At 42.5% G+C, this 23,425-nt stretch overlaps 1 protein-coding gene and 1 pseudogene across 35 annotated transcripts in view, besides 3 other annotated features; one reads left to right on the plus strand and one right to left on the minus strand.

The window, feature by feature from the left end:
- Positions 607-23,425, plus strand: part of ZMYND11 (zinc finger MYND-type containing 11) — a 124,550-nt gene continuing 101,731 nt past the window's right edge. For 11 of the 35 annotated variants that reach the window (NM_001330057.3, NM_001370097.3, NM_001370115.2 and 8 more), the window contains exon 1: positions 5,319-5,411. Coding sequence is in view for 2 of the 35 variants with exons in the window: in NM_001370116.2 (NP_001357045.1) it covers positions 5,362-5,411 (50 nt within the window). In the remaining 33 variants the exon portion in view is untranslated. The other 24 variants (NM_001370100.5, NM_001370112.2, NM_001370123.2 and 21 more) reach the window with 9 other exon arrangements.
- Positions 5,216-6,775: a silencer, noted in NCBI's record as "silent region_2058". NCBI's record gives its function as "represses an Ori minimal core promoter by ATAC-STARR-seq in GM12878 lymphoblastoid cells {active_cell/tissue: GM12878}" and the evidence as "EXISTENCE:reporter gene assay evidence [ECO:0000049][PMID:35858748]".
- Positions 5,223-5,401: a silencer, noted in NCBI's record as "fragment chr10:180644-180822 (GRCh37/hg19 assembly coordinates)". NCBI's record gives its function as "represses an EF-1alpha promoter that drives an FKBP-Casp9 reporter gene in an ReSE screen in HepG2 liver carcinoma cells {active_cell/tissue: HepG2}" and the evidence as "EXISTENCE:reporter gene assay evidence [ECO:0000049][PMID:32094911]".
- Positions 10,568-10,862: a silencer, noted in NCBI's record as "tiled region #15592; HepG2 Repressive non-DNase unmatched - State 7:EnhWF". NCBI's record gives its function as "represses a minimal TATA promoter and a strong SV40 promoter by Sharpr-MPRA in HepG2 cells {active_cell/tissue: HepG2}" and the evidence as "EXISTENCE:reporter gene assay evidence [ECO:0000049][PMID:27701403]".
- Positions 18,349-19,315, minus strand: DDX20P1 (DEAD-box helicase 20 pseudogene 1; annotated as a pseudogene).

Here is a 23,425-nt window from a genome sequence, read left to right on the forward strand (position 1 = left end):
GCAGGTGCCTCTTTTTGTTTTAATGTAAGTTCACTGCATGAAACTCTCCATAAGCTGAGAGTGGAGCCTATGACTAAATTTTGTCCTTCCTAAAAAGTGAAAACATGTTGGAAAGGTATCCCTGACAAGAGGTTGGAGGAAGTATATAAACATGTAAGTGTGCATTTTCTGGTACTTGAAATGTTTAAATGAAGAAGAGAATAACTTCTCAAGATATGACAGCAATTATCCCCATGCCTCTGTATATTGTGAATCCAAGAATAAGTCTCTTAAAGAGTCCTGGCTTCCATCCCAGGGGAAGAAGTTTTCTGCAGGGAAGCAGCGGTGTGATAGTGCCTGCAGAGAGGCCAGGCATCATTAAGTGCGGTGAGGAAGAAAGGAAGCCAGGGGAAAAGAGAAATAGGACCAGAAAGTATATCTGATAAGAGAGCTTTTGAAGAACAGAGCAGAAACAACAGGATTTCCAGGAACAGAGGCCGGTATAGCATTGGAATTCATAGAATTTTAGTACTAATGGGAACCTTGTGCGAATTGTAAACCTCCATCATTTACAGAGAAGGGAACTGAAGCTGGGAGAGGTTGCTACGTGCCAAAAGTTACATAACTAGTCAGAAGCAGAGTCTGGGGAAGTGGCTGCTGGAACTGCAGTTCTGAAAAACAAACAACAAACAAACAAACAAAAAACCTAAGAGAGTCAACACAGGCTGAAATTGTTTCTTCTGTTCCAGGTAATGGCAATTCATCTGGAGCTAAAGATCAAAAGCCAGGAGGAAATCCCCAGGATCCAGCCTGGGTTGGGCTGCTGGGTCTGTGGGGAGCAATGAGGAACTGGAGATGCACCTGCAATTAATCAGGTACATTCTTGTGTCCTTAGGTGTCTTCGCTTTGTTGTGCTGTGTGCTCGACTACGGGACGTGGTAGAAGGGGAGCTCCTTTTGTGTCAGGCATTTCACAATATTTGGCCCGTTTAATATTCATCATTACCATTTTACAGATAATAATAATTGTAGCCACTAATACTGAAGTTATTCCAAGCAGGCAGTATTATAATTTTACATGCATTTTCTCATTTAATCCTCTCAATGACCACTATGAAATCGTATATTATTCCCATTTCACAGATGAGGAAAATGAGACATAAATTGGTAAATAACTTGTCCAAGGTCAATAGCTAGAGAATGGTGGAGTTAGGACTCTAATCCAAGCAATCTGATGTTAGAAAATCATACTCCTGAAAAACAGGGAAACCAAGGTTCAAAAAGGTGAAATCACTTGAATGTCTCACAGTGAGTTGGAATTTGGACTCAGGTGCACTAGTGCATATTCTTCTACATCATGCTATAGAAGAGAGTCGGGGCCGGGCACGGTGGCTCGCGCCTGTAATTCCAGCACTGGGGAAGCCAAGATGGGCAGATCACTTGAGCTCAGGAGTTCGAGACCAGCGTAAGCAACATGGCGAAACCCCATCTCTACCAAAAATACAAAATTAGCTGGGCACGGTGGCATGCACCTGTGGTCCCAGCTGCTCGGGAGGCTGAGGTGGGAGGATCGCTTGAGCCCAGGAGTGGATGTTACAGTGAGCCAAGATGGTGCCACTGCACTCCAGCCTGGGTGACAGAGTGAGCCCTATCTCAAAAAAAGGAAAACAGGGACCAGGGAGACAGGGAAAAGGTTAGAATCACAATTTTGAAGGAAAGAAGGCACACACATACACAAACATCTGTTTTTCATCTTGTGTGATGAGTTGCCCTTGAAAAGACAGGATCCTACTTTTCCTTAAATGTTTTGAAGCATATTAACCTGAGTATGGGAGGACCTACTTCTAACAAATACTGTACATTCATGGACAGAAGTGGGGAACTGAATTTCAGAAGCCACAGCTATGGAGCCCTGAAGAGATGCCCGGAGCCTGGGTTTCAAGGCCCACAGGCACTGGAACTAGGCCTGGCAAGCACTGTCAGCTCAGCTCCTCGGTTGCTGTGTAGTAAAAAGCTGCCACTTAAGTATTGGAAGAATCATGGCTTTCAATGGAAATGGATTTCTTATACTGACAGTTTCTCCTGGAGAACGTCTTGCTCTGTTGTCCAGGCTGGAGTGCAGGGATGCAATCATAGCTCACTGCAGCCCTGACCTCTTGTGCTCAAGCCATCCTCCTCCCTCAGCTTCTCGAGTAGCTGCGACTACAGGAGTGAGCCACCACATCTGGCTATTTTTTTTTTTTAATTTTGTAGAGATGCGTCCTCGTTATGTTGCCCAGGCTGTTCTCGAACTCCTGGCCCCAAGTGTACCTCCCGCCTTGGCCTCCCAAAGTGTTGGGGTTATAGATGTGAGCCACTATTCCTGGCTGAAAGTTTTTTAAAATTAAAATATGGATAGTAGCAGTTTCAGTCTGAGCCACAGAGGGTGGCAGCATCAATGAATGGTAACTGCTGTTACAGAGTTCGGACCACAGCTTTCTAGTTTCAAAAACATGATTTTTAAAAGCATCCACAGGTGACTGGAAATCCTTAAGCAACATTAATAAACTTGTTATATAGTAACTTATATGCCAGAATGTTAATCTAATAGAGGAGAAGATAAGGAGAAACCACAACCATATTCAAAACATCAATATCTAATACTAAAGACTACGGAAAACTGTTATCAGAAGTCAGAAAGGCATGGAATGAAATCAAAGAACATTGTATAGTCTTAGAAAATATTTCATTGGGGCAACCCGTTCGGGTCCCCTTCCACGCTGTGGAAGCTTTGTTCTTTCGCTCTTCACAATAAATCTTGCTGCTGCTCAAAAAAAATATGTAATATAATATATATATTTTATATATATATATTTTATTGGTCTCTGAGAAAGTCTCCCTTTGCAGTACGAACTAACCTTGTGGAGTGGCTAGATCATGACTGCTCACTTCAGCATCTGTCTCTTACTGAATGTTTCTTATCCTCTTGCTTTCTTGGGGGTCTGAGGATGGGGGGCTGTAGCATGTGTAAGAGATGACACTCACTAGACACACATTTTTGAGGGCTGCCCCGCAGCAGGAAGCGGCTCTGGAGGCCATGGGCCAATGAAGGTGCTGTGACGTTTACACTCACAGCCATCTGCAGCAGTCCACACTTTATTACAGTTACAGTTAACATTTTCTTCCACAGTATTTCCTGATAATATTTAACAAAATAAATAATGAGACTAAACCCTAACTCATGTCAAATGAGTTTGAGCAATTATTACCTTACACACACTATACTGTCCCAATAGCCAGGTAATGAAATCTGATCTGGACACTCATTCTAGAAAATAGAGCAGTGCTGTCTGATTGGGGGCGGGAGGAGTATTCCCACGTCTTGGTCCTGCAGAGACAGCTCCCCGACAGCTCTGAGAAGCCCCAGGGCTCAGTGGCACCCGCTTTGAAACTCACCAATGCAAAAAGGAGAATCAAGAAGTAAAAATCTGTCTGTATTCAATTGTATAAACAGTATAGCTTTGTCATGTAAGATACTAGCACAGCAATTAGTTACTGGTCTTCTGGGCTTCCTCCAAACCTCAAACCTTTGGTCCCCAGACCCACACACACACATTCATTCAGCTGAGGGGCAAATGAGATAAATCAAACTGTTTTAATGGCCTCTTGGTATGCATTTCAAGAGAGTTGACATCAACCCAATTTTCTGCCAGCAGTGTATATAAGCGTTCATTTCGCTAACCATCAGTAGCATTATCACTGGAAAAGAATTCTGTCCTTTGAAGAAAAGCAATGTTACGTTGTTTGAATGTGTCATTACTAGTGAATTAGAATAGCTGTCAGTATTTATTAATAGTTTTATTTCTTCTATTGTACATTATCCATGGCTTTTGCGTTTTATGTGGGGAGGGATATTCGTATTCATCTTAGTGGATAAATACCACCTTACTTGGAAAATAGAGCCAAGGGTTAAATTCTAGGCAAAACCAACAGGAAAATCAGGGTAAGTTATCTAACTTACATTAGGTTGAATGAGAGATGGTATCTGCGTATAAAATTTTAAATGATCCCTACAAAGTATAACTGGGAAAAAAATGTGGAGTTATGCTGCCACTTCTTTCCTAAAAGGTAAGCTTCCTTTTATTGATACGATGTTGTCTTACTCGAGTGCCTTCTCTAAAATACACAGAACCATGCAGTCCTCTATTTTACAGATGAAGTAACAGACTGTTTAAAAAGGTGACTCACTGAAAGCTCTTCATTGTTGGAATTCCTGGCCCAACATTCAAACCAGGCATGGCTTGCTTTTCTTCTGACACGTTTTAACCCCTCTACTAAATTTTTAGCGATATATATTTACTCTTAAAATGAATTACAATTATTCTGTGATGTTCTTTGAGATAATCAAAAACTCTCTGGGATGTATCAGATTGAGGGCTGTGAATAGCATGAAAGATTGTGTTTATTTGACTAGTGTATATCACAGACCTATTCAAGTACCACCCATTTCTAAATTCTAACAGTCTTAGAAACCAGCTGTAGAAGCAGATTGATATATTTTATCAGAATCCCCAAATTCCTACAACCGTCTCTTCCTAATGACTTTTCAGGTGGGGACACGTGCCAAGACGGCCAATAGATACCTGAAACCCGGGGTAGTGCTGAACCTTACTTACACTACGTTTTCTCCTATACACACCTGCCTATAATAAAGTTTAATTTAGAAGTCAGGCACAATGAGAGATTAACAACACTAATAATAAACCAGAACAATTATAACACTATACTGTAGTAAAAGTTATGAGAATGCGGTCTCCCTGAAAACACCTTGCTGTCCTGTACTCACCGAATTTCAGAGCAGAGGACTCTGACTGACAGGTGTTCCCCGACTCCCAGTGGCGAAAGGTCCTCAGGGAAAACAGGTGAACGCTATCAAAGTATGCTTATCTCCGAACCTTTCTTAAACCAGAGTCTTAAGGGATCGTCTCTGATTAGGTCTAGAATTCCTCTCCATAGAAGATAACCTACTTCTCGCGCAAATCTGCAGTGTTCTTGCAGGGCTGCTGATGGGTGGTCCTGTTCTTTTCGCGGTCCTGTTTGCGCAGAGATGAAACGGGGAACTTAGCGTATCCCTACCGCTCTTTTTGATGACAGGAGTAAAGGGCTGTTCAGACTACCTAAACAATGTTGTTAAGAGAAGCACTCGTACTTCTCAGACTTCGCTGTTCCGGACCCCGCGAGCCAGGGGCAGGCACCGGGTCCACCCGGGGCTGAGCTGCGGCGGCGCCTGACAATGCCCCCTCGCGCCCCGGCCTCGGCGCCCGCTCCCGGCTCCAGCGCGCCTGCACGTACGTAGCCTTCACGTGTGTGTGGATACGGAGTGCATGTGTGGAGACAGAGGAATATGCTCCAACAAATTTCGGATAGAGGCGCCGAAGACAGGACGTGGGGAAGGTAGGAGCCGCGTGCACGGCTCCGGCCCCGGGCGGGAGGCGGCCGCGAGCCGGGCCGGCCGCGCGCAAGTCCGGCGCCAGCCGCTAGAGCCCCCAGTGCGCGGCCCGGCCGCGGGGCGCCTCGACCCGACACAATAAACTCCGAGGGCGGGCGGGCCGAGGGGCCGGTGGGGCCGAGCGGCCGCCCCGCGCGCATCGCCATGTGAGCGGCTGCCGCGGCTTCGCGGGGACCCAACTTTCCCGGGCGGCGGCGCCCAACTTCCCGCCGCCCGCTCCGGCCCCGCAGGCCCGCGGCGCCAGGGGAAGACGCGAGTAAGTGCGGGCGGCGGTGCCCTCCCGGCCCTCACCCCGCACGCGGCGACCCGGCCGCCTAGCCTCCCTCGCTCAGGCGCGACCGCGGCGTTCTCTGAGGTGGAGTATTACAAACATGGCGCCCCTCGAGCCCGGAGCCCTTCGCGCGGAGCCGGCGGCGGGGTCCGGGCGGGGGGGAGCCGGGGAGGAGGGAGGAGGCCGGCAGGGAGGAGGAGGAGGCGGCCTGAGCGTCCCCCCCGCCCCCCGCGCCCGTCGCCGGCTCAGGCCCGAGAGGCGCCGGGCGGCGGGAAGGAGGCGGCACCGGAGGGGAGGGCCGGGCGCGGCGGCGGCGGCGGTGGAGGAGCCGGAGCATAATGGTGGGGAAAGCTCGGCGGCGGGGCGGCGGGGCGGGCGGGGGCGTCCGTGGAGATGGCGCGGCCCGCGCGGTGGAGCCTGCCTGGCCGCGGCCTCTGGGGCGGCGGCGGCACCAGTGGGTGCTGACGGTCGCTCGCCCGCTCGCGAAGAGCTCCGAGCTGCCGGGGAGCTTTGTGGATGGCGGGGCGGGCCGGGCCGGCGGGGCCTGCGAGGGCGGCGGCGGGGCCTGCGGAGGCTGCCGGCCCGCGCCCACTCGCCTTGGGCGGCCGCGGAAGAGGCCCCGGGATGAGGCCCCGGAGGACCGCGCGGGGCCTGCTCGGGCCGGGAAGCCGCGGAGTCGCGTGAGCACCGCCCGCCGGGCCCTGTGCCCCGCTTTCGGTCAGGCCTCCTGGGCCCGTGCGCAGTCCGGGCCGGCGGGGAACGCGGCTCCGGGCGTGTGGCGGGCGGAGAGGAAGCGTTTGTCGGCGCGGCACGTCGTGTGCTAGCCCGGGAGCGGCGGGCAGGGCTGGCCCCGAGGCCCGGGGCGGAGATTCGTCGGTCCCCCGGGGCTGTGAGCGACCCCGGCAGCGAGGCCGCCGCCTCAACAGGTCCTCGCGGACCTCCGGGACAGTCCTGTGGGGTCCGCCGCCCTCCTCCCACCCAGAGCTCCGGGGAGAAGCTGCTGAGGACGCGGCTGGGACGAGGGGGGGCGCCGGGACCCGGACTTTCACTTGCAGTCTCTCCTCGCGCTTTTCTCCCGAGCCGGGAGGAGGAGGAGCTGGCGATGTGTGCGCCGTGCCCGGTGTCTTTTGCAGAGTGACCGCCGTACCTGTTTTATTCGTGTGTACCAGTGCTCGTTGTGCAGTGCGGTGTCCTATGCGGTGGGTACGCAGTACCGGGGATTATATATGGTGTGTACTCTGTGTCATATGCAGTGTGCTCGAAGTACCCGGTGTCGTACCGGCTATCATACACGGTGTGTACATGTATCTTCCTCGCTTAGGCTGTGCACTCAGCCCCCGGTATTGTGTGCAGTAGGTGCCTGGTACCCTGCTGCCATATGAGCTGTGCGTGTGGTACTCCATGTTATATACGAGTGTATGTAGTATCTGGATAGTATTGAATATATTTACCTTACCTGTTGTCACATACAGTGTGTATGTAGTACCTGGTGTCATATATGCGGTGTGTATAGTACCAGGTGTCATATACTGTGTGCACACAGTACTTGGGGTCATATATGGTGTGTACATAGTATCCTTTCACACTGTGTATGCAGCACCCAGTGTCATATACAGCCCTTACGCGGTTCCCGGTATTTTGTGCAGTATGTGCACGGTACCGTGCTGCCATATGCGGTGTGTATGCAGTATTCAATGTCATATACGTTAGGTATATAGTATCTGGTGTCATATACAGTGTATATACACTACCTGGTGTTATCTATGTTTTGTATATATATCTGGTGGCATGTACAGTATGTATACATTACATAGTGTTATATATGGTGTGTAGGTAGTACCCAATGTCATATGCCATGCATATATGGTACCCAATGTCATATGCACCATGCATGCACTATCCTTGTCACATAAGCTGTACTCAGTGTCAGATGCAGTGTGTACCTAGTACCGAGTGTCATATGTACTGTGTACACAGTACCCACTGTCATATTCAGGGTATCTAGTACCCTGGGTCATATACAGTGTGTACATGGTATCTGGTGTCAAGAATGTGAGCCTGGAGGAGATACCCAGGTGGCCCATTCAGGACCCTGCTGGTAGGAGGGAGTGGTGCAGGTTGGGTTTTTAGGGAGGTCTAGAGCCCTTGGTCCTCCTCACTTAGGTGTTCTGCATCCCACAGTAAGCTGAGTCATATGGAGGCAAGAACATTCTTAAAAATAATTTAATCTGTTTGTCCAAAAGCAGAAAGTAAATGTTTACTTGTTTTCCTGTAAACTGAGAAATATAGTAATTTTAGCTTAGTAATTATGGTGTGCACAACGTTTTCAGATTTTTGAGGTTGATTTTAATTAATGGTTGGATGTTATCAGGGAGATAGTGTTGGTTGTACTTTGAAAGTTGAAAAGTTAGAGTGCTTTCTGGTAGGCAGGGTCATCTTTGTAGTTTTTCTGAATGTCTTTTTACAAGCAGGAGAAAAAATATGAATGTCTGTAGAGGCATTTAATTTGCCTTGTCTTTGACTAACTGGCACAGGTTACATTATAGTTGTTATTTTTGGTTGACTCATCTTTATAAGATGACCAGGCTAGAGAATCAGAGATCAGAGGATATGGGATGTGATTATGACAGAATCAAAATATTTGTCTTGCTTGACTCTGTTACTTAAAGGATTTCTGTATTTCACATGGTGCTTTTCCCCCATAGAGATTGCTCATATGAAAACCAACTCTTCCTTTTACAGTCTCTAAATTGGACAATTTATTTTTGCAATTACCATTTGTGAGGTGTTTAAATAAATGTACATGTACGAGCTTCCAGCTTCACAAAAAGAAATCAATTAAAATGTTAAAATTTAGTTCTTTCATTCATACTGAATACCATTCTGTTGGCGTTTTTTTTTTTTTTTTTGAGATGGAGTCTTGCTCTGTCGCTCAGGCTGGAGTGCAGTGGTGTGATCTCGGCTTACTGCAACCCCTGCCTCCCAGGCTTAAGCGATTCTCATGCCTCAGCCTCCCGGGTAGCTCGTACTACAGGCATGTGCCACCACACCTGGATAATTTTTTGTATTTTTAGTAGGGGGCCGGGGTGGGGGTGGTTTGCCATGTTGGCCAGGTCTCAGACTCCTGGCCTCAAATGATCCACCTGCCTTGGCCTCCCAAAGTGCTGAGATTACAGATGTGAGCCACCGCACCCGGCCCTGTTGGCGTTTTGAATGGATGTCATGCATGTTTCAATGAATGACATATGTTTATTTGGACTCTCATCCTTCGGTAACCCTCTGAGTTTTTTCTTCTTAGGGTTGTTACAGTAGTGTATAATAGAGGCATTCATACTCTTTGGCATACCTTAATTGAGACACTACTTGGACCTAACTAAGAATTTTAATACTTGCTATAAAAGTATCAAATGTTGCTGTAAATTGCTTACTTAAAGCCCTAACCCTCTGGTATCAGATTTTTGGTAACTTTCTTGTCCTTCAGTTGAATTCTACATGGAGAACATTATTACCTTTCAGCAAAGAGGATGTATCTTGGAAAAAAAAAAAAGAGAAAATAGACTTAGCCTTATGATAGTTAAAACTTTTCACTGTTTGAAAACCTTAAATTGGATTTAACACTGAATTTTCTTTTTTCTTTTTTTGAGACACTCACTCTCGCTCTGTCGCCCAGGCTGGAGTGCAGTGGCACAATCTTGGCTCACTGCAGCCTCTGCCTCCTGGGTTCAAGTGATTCTCCTGCTTCAGCCTGGGATTATAGGCGCCCGCCACTGTGCCTGGCTAATTTTTCTATTTCACCATGCCGGTCTTAAACTCCTGGCCTCAAATGATCCGCCTGCCTTGGCTTCCCAAAGCGCTGGGACTATAGGCATGAGCCACTGTGCCTGGCCTATCATTACTTTGATGAATGATATTATTATTCATCTATTTTAATTCATTTGAATAATACAAATAACTAAAATACACAGTGTGAGAGTTCTTATTTTAACCATTGGTTTTATGTTAATATTTTTCTGTTTTTCATATCTGGCACTCTGTCCATAACTGCTTCAGGTTGCATTTTCTATATTTCCTTGAAGCAGATAGACTTTCTGAATAAAGGAAAACTGGTGTTTTCTCTTCATTAGATCTTCATTAAACCCTCACCAACATTTCTACTAGGAATTCAGCATATGTGAGTTTATTTCTACCAATATCTCTTACATACTTTCAGTTACTTGCAGTGCCATTATCAAGTTTTCAAAACAAATGTAAATCTGCTTTGATACAGTGATTTGTGCAGATGTTAGTGACCTGGAGGTTGTTCATCAGGTTTTCAGTGTTTTGTCTTCTCTTAGTCTCCACTTTTGAAATGTTTAGTAGCTACAATTTTATAACATAAATGAGGACCATAATAATAATATATCATGTATTGTCTGTCTACTGTATATCAGCCACTGTGCAAAGTTACTTACACGTACACTGTCCAACTTAAACTTACACATGGTCCTTTTTTTTTTTTTTTTTTTTTTTTGGAGATAGGGTCTTGCTCTGTTGCCCAGGCTGGAGTGCAGTGGTGCCATCTTGGCTCACTACAACCTCCACCTCCTGGGTTCAAGTGATTCTCATGCCTTAGCCTGCCAAGTAGCTGGGACTACAGGCAGGAGCCACCACGCCTGGCTAATTTTTGTATTTTTAGTAGAGTTGGGGTTTTGCCATGTTGGCCAGGCTCTTCTCAAACGTGTAGGTGATCTGCCCATCTTGGCCTCCCAAAGTGCAGGGATTACAGGCATGAGCCACCGTGCCTGGCCACACATTGTCATCTTAAAAGCATAGCAGTCAGTCTTCCTTTTAATTATGGAAAGTTCACCTTGTAGCACACTCTTATAATTGCATCCTATCCCAGACACACACACACACACATACACACGCAGAAACAGAAGAGAAGTGGGTGAGATATTTTTTGAGACAGAATGTGATTTGTATAACATAAAAGTTTGAGAGTCTCTGGGATAAGAGGTCAATGATAGAAATGAAGATAATGTGAGGGAGATAAGAACCCAAATCAAAATACCCAATACAATAGTCCTTTTGAATAATCATGGCTTAGCTGTGGTTTTAAAAACATATGCAGAAATGATTTATTGCTTAAGGAAAGATTTGTGTGTGGGCACCTGCTGTTACTGTTTTTCCATTAGAAAATCCATAGAGTTATTTAGTTTGTATCATGGAAATGCTATACAAGTTTTAGTATCAAAATTATTTGCAAATGCAAAGAAATCTGTAAAATAAAAAATATTTTTAGTGTTTGTGTTATCCATTATTAGGTCTTAGGAGAGAAATTTGGCAAATTATTAGACATAAATATTTAACTCAATTCAAAAAATAACCTAATTAGATATTTAATCTTTCATTGCATATATATTTTTCCTGTTCAGCAGTAATTTCCTGATTTTTATCTCAGGTTTCTTTTAAAGAGAATTTAGCACATTGGAAAATATTTTCATAATTAAAGTGCTGGGTAAATTCTTTTAAAATGTGTTCAATCAGATAGAAGTAGAAATACCCTTACGTGCACATACTTAAGCTATTCACACTATTAGGTAATTGTGAAGTTACAGTTGCATTGAGTATGTGGCACATTTCATTTAATGTTGGTAACATCTGCAAATGTCCAGAGTGTTTGCTTCATAAATGTCTAAAAGTTTGCCCACTTTTATGTAAAACTAAAGAAGTAGAAATGACAAAAGTAATAGAATACTACTGTATCAGAGTTTTAAAGGAATCATATGGACTCTTCGATCTGTTTGTTTTTCAGAGATGAGAGGGATATGTTTACAGACCACATTAGCTTACACATTAATTGGAAAATGTGTTTCGCTGAAATACACACAGTATTTTCATTTTTCTGTAAACTTAATATTTAGGTATAGTAGGTAAACTAGTTTTACATCAGTGTGTTTATAGTTCAAGTTACTTCATAATTTGTTTCATAAGATCACACTAAAATATTGTCTATTTTCATATAAGGAGAATATATGCAATTTTAATATCTTGACCCCATTTATTAATACATTGTTATTTATCGAAACTCTGGTATGTGCCATATCTTAGATGCCGAGGCGAGCAAGATGAGGGAGGGTTCTTGCCATTGTAGAGTTTTCAGTTCAGAGTAACACATTTACTGAAGCAAGCACAATAAAATGTAAAGGCAAGAGGACTGCTTGAGCCCAGGAGTTTGAGGCTACAGTGAGCTAAATCAGCTACTGCACTCCGACCTGGGTACTGTAGGACACTGTATGAATTAAGATAAGTCGTATTTGTGTTAAGATTACTTGCAAAGTCTTAGCACTGATGATTTAAAATTTATCCCAATTTGTAACTTTGAGATTTTACTATATTAACAACCTGAGGGTTTTTAAAGCAACTTTATTATGATTGGTAACTTTTAAAGTACTCTGTTGAAAAGTAGAGCTGTATTAAATATCAAACATATATTGTGTTCTCCAGATATTATCTGAGCATTTAAATGAAAGGTAGATCCAATTTAAATTTTTAGTTTTTTGTTCTCTGAGGTTTGGTCTGCATGTTATGTTAATTTAAAATATAGGTTAAGAGCAAAGGATCTTCATTCCTAGTTTAAACATTTATCATGTGAACATGAAAGATATTAAAAAATTCAAAGGATTTCTGTTGAGAGCTTGTCATACAATATTAGCTCTCATAACTCGGGTTAAAAAGGCTATTTTTAAAAATTGGGAAGATATTTTGGTTTATAGCAAGACAATCTGATTTGTATACATTTTAATTTGGCTGTACACATTAGGTCGCTTTATGAGTCTACTTTGTAAGCAGTTTTTAGGAAGCTGGGTTTAATCATGAGAGTTGTTTGTGGCAGCACCATTTGTGTTATTTGTGTTTTGTTTTGCTTTTAGACAGGGTCTCATTCTGTAGGGAGCACAGTGGCGAGAACTCTGGTCACTGCCACCTCCACTTCCTGGGCTCAAGTGATCCTCACACCTCAGCCTCCCCAGGAGCTAGAACTATAGGTCTGTGCCACCATGCCTGGCTAATTTTTTGTAGTGATGGGGTTTCACCATGTTACCCACGCTGGTCCCAAACTCCTGAGCTCAAGCGAACCACCTGACTCGTTCTCAAAGTGTTAAGATTAGAGGTGTGACCCACCTTGCCCAGCCTGTTTTTTTAAAGGTGTCACTTTTTGAGCATCTCACATACTAGGCAATTCGCATATCCCATTTAGTCCTCACAGAGGCGTCATGAGGGATGTGTCATTGTAACAATTTATAATGAGGGAATAGACTTAGAAGGGTTAAGTTACTGGTGCCCAAGGTCATAGAGACATAATCAAATTGGTCTGAATTCCAATGTATGACTACCACACCTGTAACCTGCTATGCTACTCTGTCTCCCTAAAACCCATAAACTTCTTAAATCTTTACAGTGATATTCCTTCATTTTCCCAATGCACTTTTATAAGTCTGCAAAAGTACGTAATATTAACAAAGTGTAAAACTATGCCCACTCTGCTTATAAAAGCAGGAGGTAGAAAGACAGGAGTATTAGGAAACTCTGGGCAATCAAAACATTCTATCTATGAAGTTCTGGTTAATGCCAACTCACCGGTAATGACAGGTAGTAATCTGAGAACAAGCATAGATAATTGGTTCATTTTCTTGCTGTCACTATGGTAGCTCACATTAGGAAGATAACTTGGTTCAGGGGCAGGAGCACTGGAGGCGGGGCACCTGCAGGTCTTCATTTTAATACTCACATAATGGTGAAAATTGTTTGAAAATATTTGGAATTAACACCAACACTAAAGTATTCTTGCTGTCTTGGAAAGGGAAGTCATTGTCTTGAGGAATCTTGTGTAAGTTCAATTTGGATTCAGAGAGCTAATTTCTGGAAAGCTGTATTAAATGCTAAGGCTTCAGCATTCCACTGGGTGTGCCGTCATCTAACATAAAATAATACCATTTTGTGAGAAGCGTATGGTAAAGAGAGAAATAATCGAGTTGTAGCACCCACAGATTGAGATCATCCTGACACTCAGCAGTGATGCTGCAACGGGATAATTGAGGGCTAGGCATGGGGGAAGCTCTCGCAACTTTTGAAAGCTATTATGAATTTTTTAGTTTTCTCTTGTAGATTCTTGATTTATCTGCCTCTTGCTTGTTTTTCTATCTCGAAAGTATGTCTGAGAAATGCTGTTTTAGAGAGCAGGTCCTTAATTTTCTATTGAATTTTGACATGGAGCCCTTCCTCAATTAATATAAAATATACCTACTTTCACTGCCCAGTTCTTGCAATACAAAAAAAATGAGAAAAATTTATTTGGGCTTTCCATTGATGTCATATTTAATAGGTTTTGAGAGGAGGTTATTTACCATTAGAGATGTTGTCTTTTTAAATTATAGAGGATATAAGTCTACAGTATTTTTTTCTACTGTACTTACAATTTGGCATTTGCTTGTATGTTTAGAAATATCAAATTTAATATTAAAGTACCAGAGATCTTTTATTTCACAATACTTATTTTACCAGTCTGCACGTATATGTTCTACAGTTATAACTTTACGAAGCCTTTCACTTGTGATCAATATTCATGTTGGATTGTTTCAGGTAAGAAACTGCCATTTGAGGCAGGGTCAGGTAGCTCACGCCTGTCATCACAACACTTTGGGAGGCCGAGGCGGGCAGATCACTTGAGCCCAGGAGGCAGAGGTTGCAGTGAGCGGAGATCATGCCACTGCACTACAGCCTGGGCCACAGAGCAAGACCCTGCCTCAATTAAAAAAAAAAAAAACTGCCATTTGAATCATTTGAAAGTTTTTTTTTAATATTTTAAGGACTATTCAAATAAAAATAATTTTAGTCTTAGTTATTTTCAAATGAATTAAAAGCTGAACAGCCAGCAGTACAATTTAAAGTTAGACTTTCTCTCTGCTCATGCTGAGGAAAAATTTACTATCATTGCAGTAGTATTTGTACCTCATTTATTTATTTTAATTTTTGTTTTTTACGACAGAATCTTGCTCTGTTGCCCAGGCTGGAGTGCAGTAGCACCATAACTGCTCACTGCAGCCTTGATTTCCTGGGGTCAGGCCATCCTCCTGCCTCAACTTCTTGAGTAGCTGGGACTATAGGCGCATGCCACCACACCTGGCTAATTTTTGTATTTTTTTGGCAGAGGGGAGAGTTTTGCCATGTTGCCCAGGATCATCTCGAACACCTAGGCTCAAGTGTTCTGCCCATCACGGCCTCCCAAAGTGTTGGGATTACAGATGTGAGCCACCTTGCCTGGCCTATTTTTTAAAATAAACTGTTTAGAATTTTAGATGACAGTGTTACACAACTCACATTAGGAACCAGGAGTAATTTAGCATAGTGGTTCTCAGTTATGGCTGGCTGAGCGTCTGAATTCCTTTTTTTTTTTTTTTTTTTTTTTAACAAAAACATTAAATCAGAATCTCAGGGGTTGAGTCTGGGCTCTAATTTTTTATTTCTACATATAAAATATATATATAATATATATATGCATACACATTTCATTAGCTTTGGGTACAAGTGGTTTTTGGTTACATGGATAAATTGCATAGTGGTGAAGTATGAGATTTTAGTGCACCCATCACCTGAGTAGTGTACATTGTACCCAATATTTTTAAAATATTAAATATTAAAGAGATTTTTAAAATTTCTTACTCCTCTTCCACTCTTCCCCATTCTGAGTCTCCAGTGTTCATGATACTACTGTGTATGCCTTTGTGTACCCATAGCTTAGTTCTCACAAGTGAGAACATGCAGTATTTGGTTTTCCATTCCTGAGTTATTTCATTTAGAATAATGGCCTCTAGCTTCATTCAGGTTTCTGCAAAAGACGTTATTTTATTTATTTTCTTTTATGGCTGAGAGTATTCCATATATATATGTGTATATATATATGTGTGTGTATATATATGTGTATATATGTGTATATACATATGTGTGTGTATATATATGTATATATGTGTGTATATATATGTGTGTGTATGTATATATATATATGTATATATATATCACTTTTTCTTTTTCCATTTATTGGTTGATGGGCACTTAGGTTGGTTCCGTATCTTTGCAATTGTGAATTGTGCCACAATAAACATATGCACGCAGGTGTCTTTTTGATGTAATGACTTCTTTTCCTGTGGGTAGATGCCCAGCAGTGGGATTGCTGGATCAAATGGTAGATTTACTTTTAGTACTTAAAGGAACGTCCGTGCCGTTTTCTGTAGAGGTTGTACTAATTTACATTACTATACATTCTCGTAAGCATTCTCTTTTCTCCGCATCCATGCCAACACCTATTGGTTTTTGACTTTCTGATAGTCACCATTCTGGTGGGGGTAAGGTGGTACCTCACTGTGGTTTTAATTTGCATTTCCCTGATGATTAGTCATATTTAGCATTTTCTTACGTGTTTGTTGGTTATTTGTATATCTTTCTTTGAGAAGTGTCTATTCATGTCATTTGTCCGCTTTTTGATGGGATTTTTTTTCTTGCTGATTTGAGTTCCCTGTAGATTCTGGATACCAGTCCTTTGTCAGATGCATAGTTTCCAAATATTTTCTCCCATTTTGTGGGTTGTTTAATCTGATGATTATTTTCTTTGCTGTGCAGAAGATTTTTAGTTTAATTAGGTCTTATTTACTTTTGTTTTTGTGGCATTTGCTTTTGGGGTCTTAGTCATAAATTCTTTGTCTAGACCATTGTCCAGAAGGGTTTTTCCTATGGTTTCTTCTAGAATTTTTATGGTTTTTGGTTTTAGATTTAAGTATTTAATCCATCTTGAGTTGATTTTTGTATAAGGTGGGAGCTAGGGATCCAGTTTCATTCTTCTACGTATGGCTATCCAGTTTTCCCAGTACCATTTATTAGATAATGTGTCCTTTCCCCAATTTTGTTTCTGTATGCTTTGTCAAGGATCAGTTGGTTGTAAGTATTTGGCCTTATTTCTAGGTTCTCTATTCTTTTCCATTCTGTGTGTCTACTTTTATATCAGTACCATGCTGTTTTGCTTACTATAGCCTTGTAGTATAAAGTCAGGTAATGTGATGCCTCCAGATTAGTTCTTTTGCATAGGATTGCTTTGGCTATTTGAGCCATTTTTTGATTCCATAAGAATTTTAGGATTTTTCTCTATTTCTATTGAAGCGATGTTCGTATTTTGATAGGAATTGCATTGAATCTATAGAGTGTTTTGGGCAGCATGGTTGTTTTCACAATATCGATTTTTCCAATCCATGAACATGGGATGTATTTCCATTTGTTTGTATCATCTGTGATTTCTTTCAGTAGTGTTTTGTGGTTCTCCTTGTAGCAATCTTTCACCTCCTCTGTTCATATACTCCTAGGGTTTTGTTGTTGTGTTGTTTTGTTTTTGCAGCTATCATAAAAGGGATTGAGTTCTTGATTTGATTTCTTAGTGATATGGTTTGGCCATGTCCCCTCCGAAAATCTCATCTTGAATTGTAGCTCCCATAATCCCCACATGTTGTGGGAGGGACCCAGTGGGAGATAATTGAATCATGGTGGTGGGTTTTCCCCATGCTGTTCTCATCATAGTGAATAAGTCTCACAAGATCTGATGGTTTTATAAAGGGCAGTTCACCTGCACAGGTTCTCCTGCCTGCCAGCATGTAAGACATGCCTTTGCTCCTCCTTTGGCTTCTGCCATGATTGTGAGGTCTCCCCAGCCATGTGGAACTGTGAGTTCATTAAACCTCTCTTTCTTTATAAATTACCCAGTCTCGAGTATGTCTTTCTTAGCAGTGTGAGAATGGACTAATACACTCAGCTTGGTCGTTGTTGGTATATAGCAGCACTACCAATTTGTGTACATTGATTCTGTAGCATGAGACTTTACTGAATTCATTTATCAAATCTAGGATTCTTCTGGAAGAGTCTTTAGGGTTTTCTAGGTATATGAGCATATCATTGGCAAACAGATAGTTTGACTTTCTCTTTTCCAATTTGGATGCCCTTTATTTCTTTTTCTTGTCAGATTACTCTGACTAGGACTTCCAGTACTGTGTTGAATAGAAGTGTTGAAAGTAGGTATCCTTGTCTTGTTCCAGTTCTTAGGGGGAATGCTTTCAACTTTTCCCCATTCAGTATGTTGGCTCTGGGTTTGTCATAGATGGCTTTTCATATTTTGAGGTATGTTCCTCCTATTGAGCTCTACTTTTTAAAAGTAAACAGTTTTATTTTAGCTTTTCAAGCTTCAAATTTTTATTTTTTGAAGTGGGCAGAGGTATATGTGCCTTTTTAAATTTTTTTTTTTGGAATAGCTTATATGAAATGTCATACCCTAGGATTTTTAGTTCCAAGCCTCAGAAATTCTCTTTCAAGAATCAGATCCATGAAGTTCCCTTAAAAAGAGGATAATTAAAATAACCTGAAAAGTAAATGCATCCTAGATGAAAGCGTTAAATCTTTTTGGATTCCTCAAACACGCTACTGTATTGCCAGGGAAGATGGATATCGAAGGTATCATTGGTTGATATTCCCTGATGGTCACAGATATAACTATAATCACAGGTAAATGCACATCAGATCTTGAGATACGTTATAGTCAGGATATGGGTTGCCATCCAGTTTGAATGTCTGGGCATTCTGGTAATTTGAAAAGCAGCAATACAAAAGTGTTCTGCCTGTCCTGTAGTCAGCTCTCCAGGATGTCTCCTAATCCTGATAGGCATCAGAAAAACTTGAATGTCTTTCCCTGGGGCAGTCAGATCAACCGTCCTGGGGTTATGTCTTCAGTCAATAGTGAGACCACCTGAGAAAGTTTTTCAGGCTCTGCCTAGGTCTCTGGCTAGCCTCCTCTTTATCCCTGGTGTTTATCTGGATTTCAGGTGATTATTGGTATTCCTCCAGGCTGGGGGTAATATTTCCATGTACAGGTGGTTCTACAGGTTTGGCAGTCTACAGGAGTAGATTAGAGTCTTTAAACTGAGTGTCCTAACTTCCTTTGCTCTGGGAAGAAGTCCTAACTTCCTTTGCTCTGGGAAGAAGTCCTAACTTCCTTTGCTCTGGGAAGAAGTCCTAACTTCCTTTGCTCTGGGAAGAAGTCCTAACTTCCTTTGCTCTGGGAAGAAGTCCTAACTTCCTTTGCTCTGGGAAGAAGTCCTAACTTCCTTTGCTCTGGGAAGAAGTCTTAACTTCCTTTGCTCTGGGAAGAAGTCCTAACTTCCTTTGCTCAGGGAAGAAGTCCTTGAGGTGTAAGACTCACTGTGGCTCCAACCCCTACCGTCCAATATTTGCATTCACTCCTTAGTAATTTTATTACTCACACTAGTGTTTTGAGGCTTCACAGGTATCCCAGTACCTAGGCAGTGCCTGATAATTTCCACAGGTTTATTTTCTCTTTAACATAGTGTTCATAATTCTTCACTGATTCCACAAAGGCCAAGATGCATGGCAGGTGGAATTTTAGGGAGTGACCAGGTAAGCCTCCCTGGGCTTGGTGCTGACTGTTGACAGGGTGCTCACCAGGGCCCCATCAGGGCTCTTCGTTTGCTCTTCTCACGGGACAGCACAGCCTCATCCACCATTGATTTTCCACTGCTGTCAGTGTCCTTACTGTCTTCCGGGTTAGACCTTAGGTGATAACATACAACGTCTGTGTTTTTAAAGTGTGCTAAGTCAAATTTTCTTAAATATACATAATTTTGTCAGTTTTAAATTACCAGATACATTCAAGAATTATATTAATTGCTGCTGAGTTAGAATTGCATTTTAAAGAGAATAGTTTTATGAAATTTGAACTTGAAGAATAGAGTAGGAAATGTTAGATGGTTACCCTAAACATTGTAAATAATAGGGAGGGAAGAGGATCCGATGTCTGACTCATGGCAAGTAATTGACTTTGAAAAATACGAATTTTCTAAAAAGAAAGGCTGAACCGAAACTTGCCCACTCCAGTCTCTGATCTCATTCTCCTCAGCTCAGTGAGACCACACACTCCCTTTGGATCTCCATCCCTGCACTGTGGCCTGGGAATTGCTGTGAGGCAGAACACTGAGGTGGTTGTTATTATTATTATTATTATTATTATTATTATTATTATTATTTTTCAGACCAGTCTCGCTCTGTCGCCCAGGCTGGAGTGCAGTGGCGCGATCTTGGCTCACTGCAAGCTCCGCCTCCTGGGTTCACGCCATTCTCCTGCATCAGCCTCCCAAGTAGCTGAGACTACAGGCGCCTACCACCATGCCTGGCTAATTTTTTGTATTTTTAGTAGAGACGGGGTTTCACCGGGTTAGCCAGGATGGTCTCGATCTCCTGACCTCGTGATCCACCCACCTCAGCCTCCCAAAATGTATTATTATTTTTTAAATGTAGTTTGCTTTTGAAAGAACAACACAATAGTAAATACTTAATACATGTACTGTTAATAATATTTGCATATTAAATTGTGGGTATGTTTTAGTATAAATGGGCACTAATTTTATACTTTATCCAGTCTCACACTTTAAATAGACATTGTATCACTTAGGAGAAGGGCAATTATTCTGTTGTGGGAGTGGAGAAGAAAGGCTGAAACAGAGTCTAATGAAGTACATTATTTCAACACTTCTTTCTCTTCCTTTTTAATGGAACCCTGCTCCTCAGATAGAGTGGTTTTTGTCTTTGGTTCTGTTTATATGCTGGATTACGTTTATTGATTTGTGTATGTTGAACCAACCTTGCATCCCAGGGATGAAGCCCACTTGATCATGGTGGATAAGCTTTTCGATGTGCTGCTGGATTCGGTTTGCCAGTATTTTATTGAGGATTTTTGCATCAATGTTCATCAGGGATATTGGTCTAAAATTCTCTTTTTTTGTTGTGTCTCTGCCAGGCGTTGGTATCAGGATGATGCTGGCCTCATAAAATGAGTTAGGGAGGATTCCCTCTTTTTGTATTGATTGGAATAGTTTCAGAAGGAGTGGTACCAGCTCCTCCTTGTACTTCTGGTAGAATTTGGCTGTGAATCCGTCTGGTCCTGGACTTTTTTTGGTTGGTAAGCTATTAATTATTGCCTCAATTTCAGAGCCTGTTATTGGTCTATTCAGGGATTCAGCTTCTTCCTGGTTTAGTCTTGGGCGGGTGTATGTGTCCAGGAATTTATCCATTTCTTCTAGATTTTCTAGTTTATTTGCGTAGAAGTGTTTATAGTATTCTCTGATGGTAGTTTGTATTTCTGTGGGATCAGTGGTGATATCCCCTTTATCATTTTTAATTGCGTCTATTTGATTCTTCTCTTTTTTCTTCTTTATTAGTCTTGCTAGCGGCCTATCAATTTTATTGATGGCCATTGCTGAGGCTTGAGTAGGTAAACAAAGTGGCCTGGAGGCTCGAACTGGGTGGAGCCCACTGCAGCTCAAGGAGGCCTGCCTGCCTCTGTAGACCACCTCTGGGGGCAGGGCATAGCCGAACAAAAGGCAACAGAAACGTCTGCACACTTAAATGTCCCTGTCTGACAGCTTTGAAGAGAGTAGTGGTTCTCCCAGCACGGAGTTTGAGATCTGAGAACGGACAGACTGCCTCCTCAAGTGGGTCCCTAACTCCCAAGTAGCCAAACTGGGAGGCACCCCCCAGCAGGGGCAGACTGACACCTCACATGGCTGGGTACCCCTCTAAGACAAAGCTTCTAGAGGAACGATCAGGCAGCAACATTTGCTGTTCTGCAGCCTCTGCTGCTGATACCCAGGCAAACAGGGTCTGGAGTGGACCTCCAGCAAACTCCAACAGACCTGCAGCTGAGGGTCCTGACCGTTAGAAGGAAAACTAACAAACAGAAAGGACATCCACACCAAAACCCCATCTGTACGTCACCATCATCAAAGACCAAAGGTACATAAAACCTCAAAGATGGGGAAAAAACAGAGCAGAAAAGCTCAAAATTCTAAAAATCAGAGCACCTCTCCCCCTCCAAAGGAACGCAGTCCTCACCAGCGACAGAACAAAGCTGGATGGGAATGACTTTCACGAGTTGAGAGAAGAAGGCTTCAGACGATCAAACTTCTCCAAGCTAAAGGAGGAAGTTCGAACCCATCGCAAAGAAGCTAAAAACCTTGAAAAAAGATTAGACGGATGGCTAACTAGAATAACCAGTGTAGAGAAGTCTTTAAATGACCTGATGGAGCTGAAAACCATCGCATGAGAACTACGTGACGAATGCACAAGCTTCAGTAGCCAATTCAATCAACTGGAAGAAAGGGTATCAGTGATGGAAGATCAAATGAATGAAATAAATCCACAAGAGGAGTTTAGAGAAAAGAGAGTAAAAAGAAATGAGCAAAGTCTTCGAGAAATATGGGACTATGTGAAAAGACCAAATCTACGTCTGATTGGCGTACCTGAAAGTCACGGGGAGAATGGAACCAAGTTGGAAAACACTCTGCAGGATATTATCCAGGAGAGCTTCCCCAACCTAGCAAGGCAGGCCAACATTCAGATTCAGGAAATACAGAGAATGCCACAAAGATACTCCTGGAGAAGAGCAACTCCGAGACACATAATTGTCAGATTCACCAAAGTTGAAATGAAGGAAAAGATGTTAAGGGCAGCCAATGAGAAAGGTTGGGTTACCCACAAAGGGAAGCCCATCAGACTAACAGCTGATCTCTTGGCAGAAACTCTACAAGCCAGAAGAGAGTGGGGACCAATATTCAACATTCATGAAGAAAAGAGGTTTCAACCCAGAATTTCATATCCAGCCAAACTAAGCTTCATAAGTGAAGAAGAAATAAAATCCTTTACACACAAGCAAATGCTGAGAGATTTTGTCACCACCAGGCCTGCCCTACAAGAGCTCCTGAAGGAAGCACTAAACATGGAAAGGAACAACTGGTACCAGTCACTGCAAAAACATGCCAAATTGTAAAGACCATCAATGCTAGGAAGAAACTGCATTAACTAATAAGCAAAATAACCAGCTAACATCATAATGACAGGATCAAGTTCACTCCTAACAATATGAACTTTAAGTGTAAATGGGCTAAATGCTCCAATTAAAAGACACAGACTGGCAAATTGGATAAAGAGTCGAGACCCATCAGTGTGCTATATTCAGGAGACCCATCTCATGTGCAGAGACACACATAGGCTCAAAATAAAGGGATGGAGGAAGATCTACCAAGCAAATGGAAAACAGAAAAAGGCAGGGGTTGCAATCCTAGTCTCTGATAAAACAGACCTTAAACCAACAAAAATCAAAAGAGACAAAGCCATTACATATTGGTAAAGGGATCAATTCAACAAGAAGAGCTAACTATCCTAAATATATATGCACCCAATACAGGAGCACCCAGATTCATAAAGCAAGTCCTTAGAGACCTACAAAAAGGCTTACACTCCCGCACAATAATAATGGGAGACTTTAACACCCCAGTGTCAACATTAGACATATCAATGAAACAGAAAGTCAACAAGGATATCCAGGAATTGAACTCAGCTCTGCACCAAGCGGACCTACTAGACATCTACAGAACTCTCCACCCCAAATCAACAGAATATGCATTCTTCTCAGCACCACGTTGCACTTATTCCAAAATTGACCACATAGTTGGAAGTAAAGCACTCCTCAGCAAATGTAAAAGAACAGAAATTATAACAAACTGTCTCTCAGACCACAGTGCAATCAAACTAGAACTCAGGATTAAGAAC

The sequence above is a fragment of the Homo sapiens genome, chromosome 10 (genome assembly GCF_000001405.40).
Source record: "Homo sapiens chromosome 10, GRCh38.p14 Primary Assembly".
Lineage (NCBI taxonomy): Eukaryota > Metazoa > Chordata > Mammalia > Primates > Hominidae > Homo > Homo sapiens.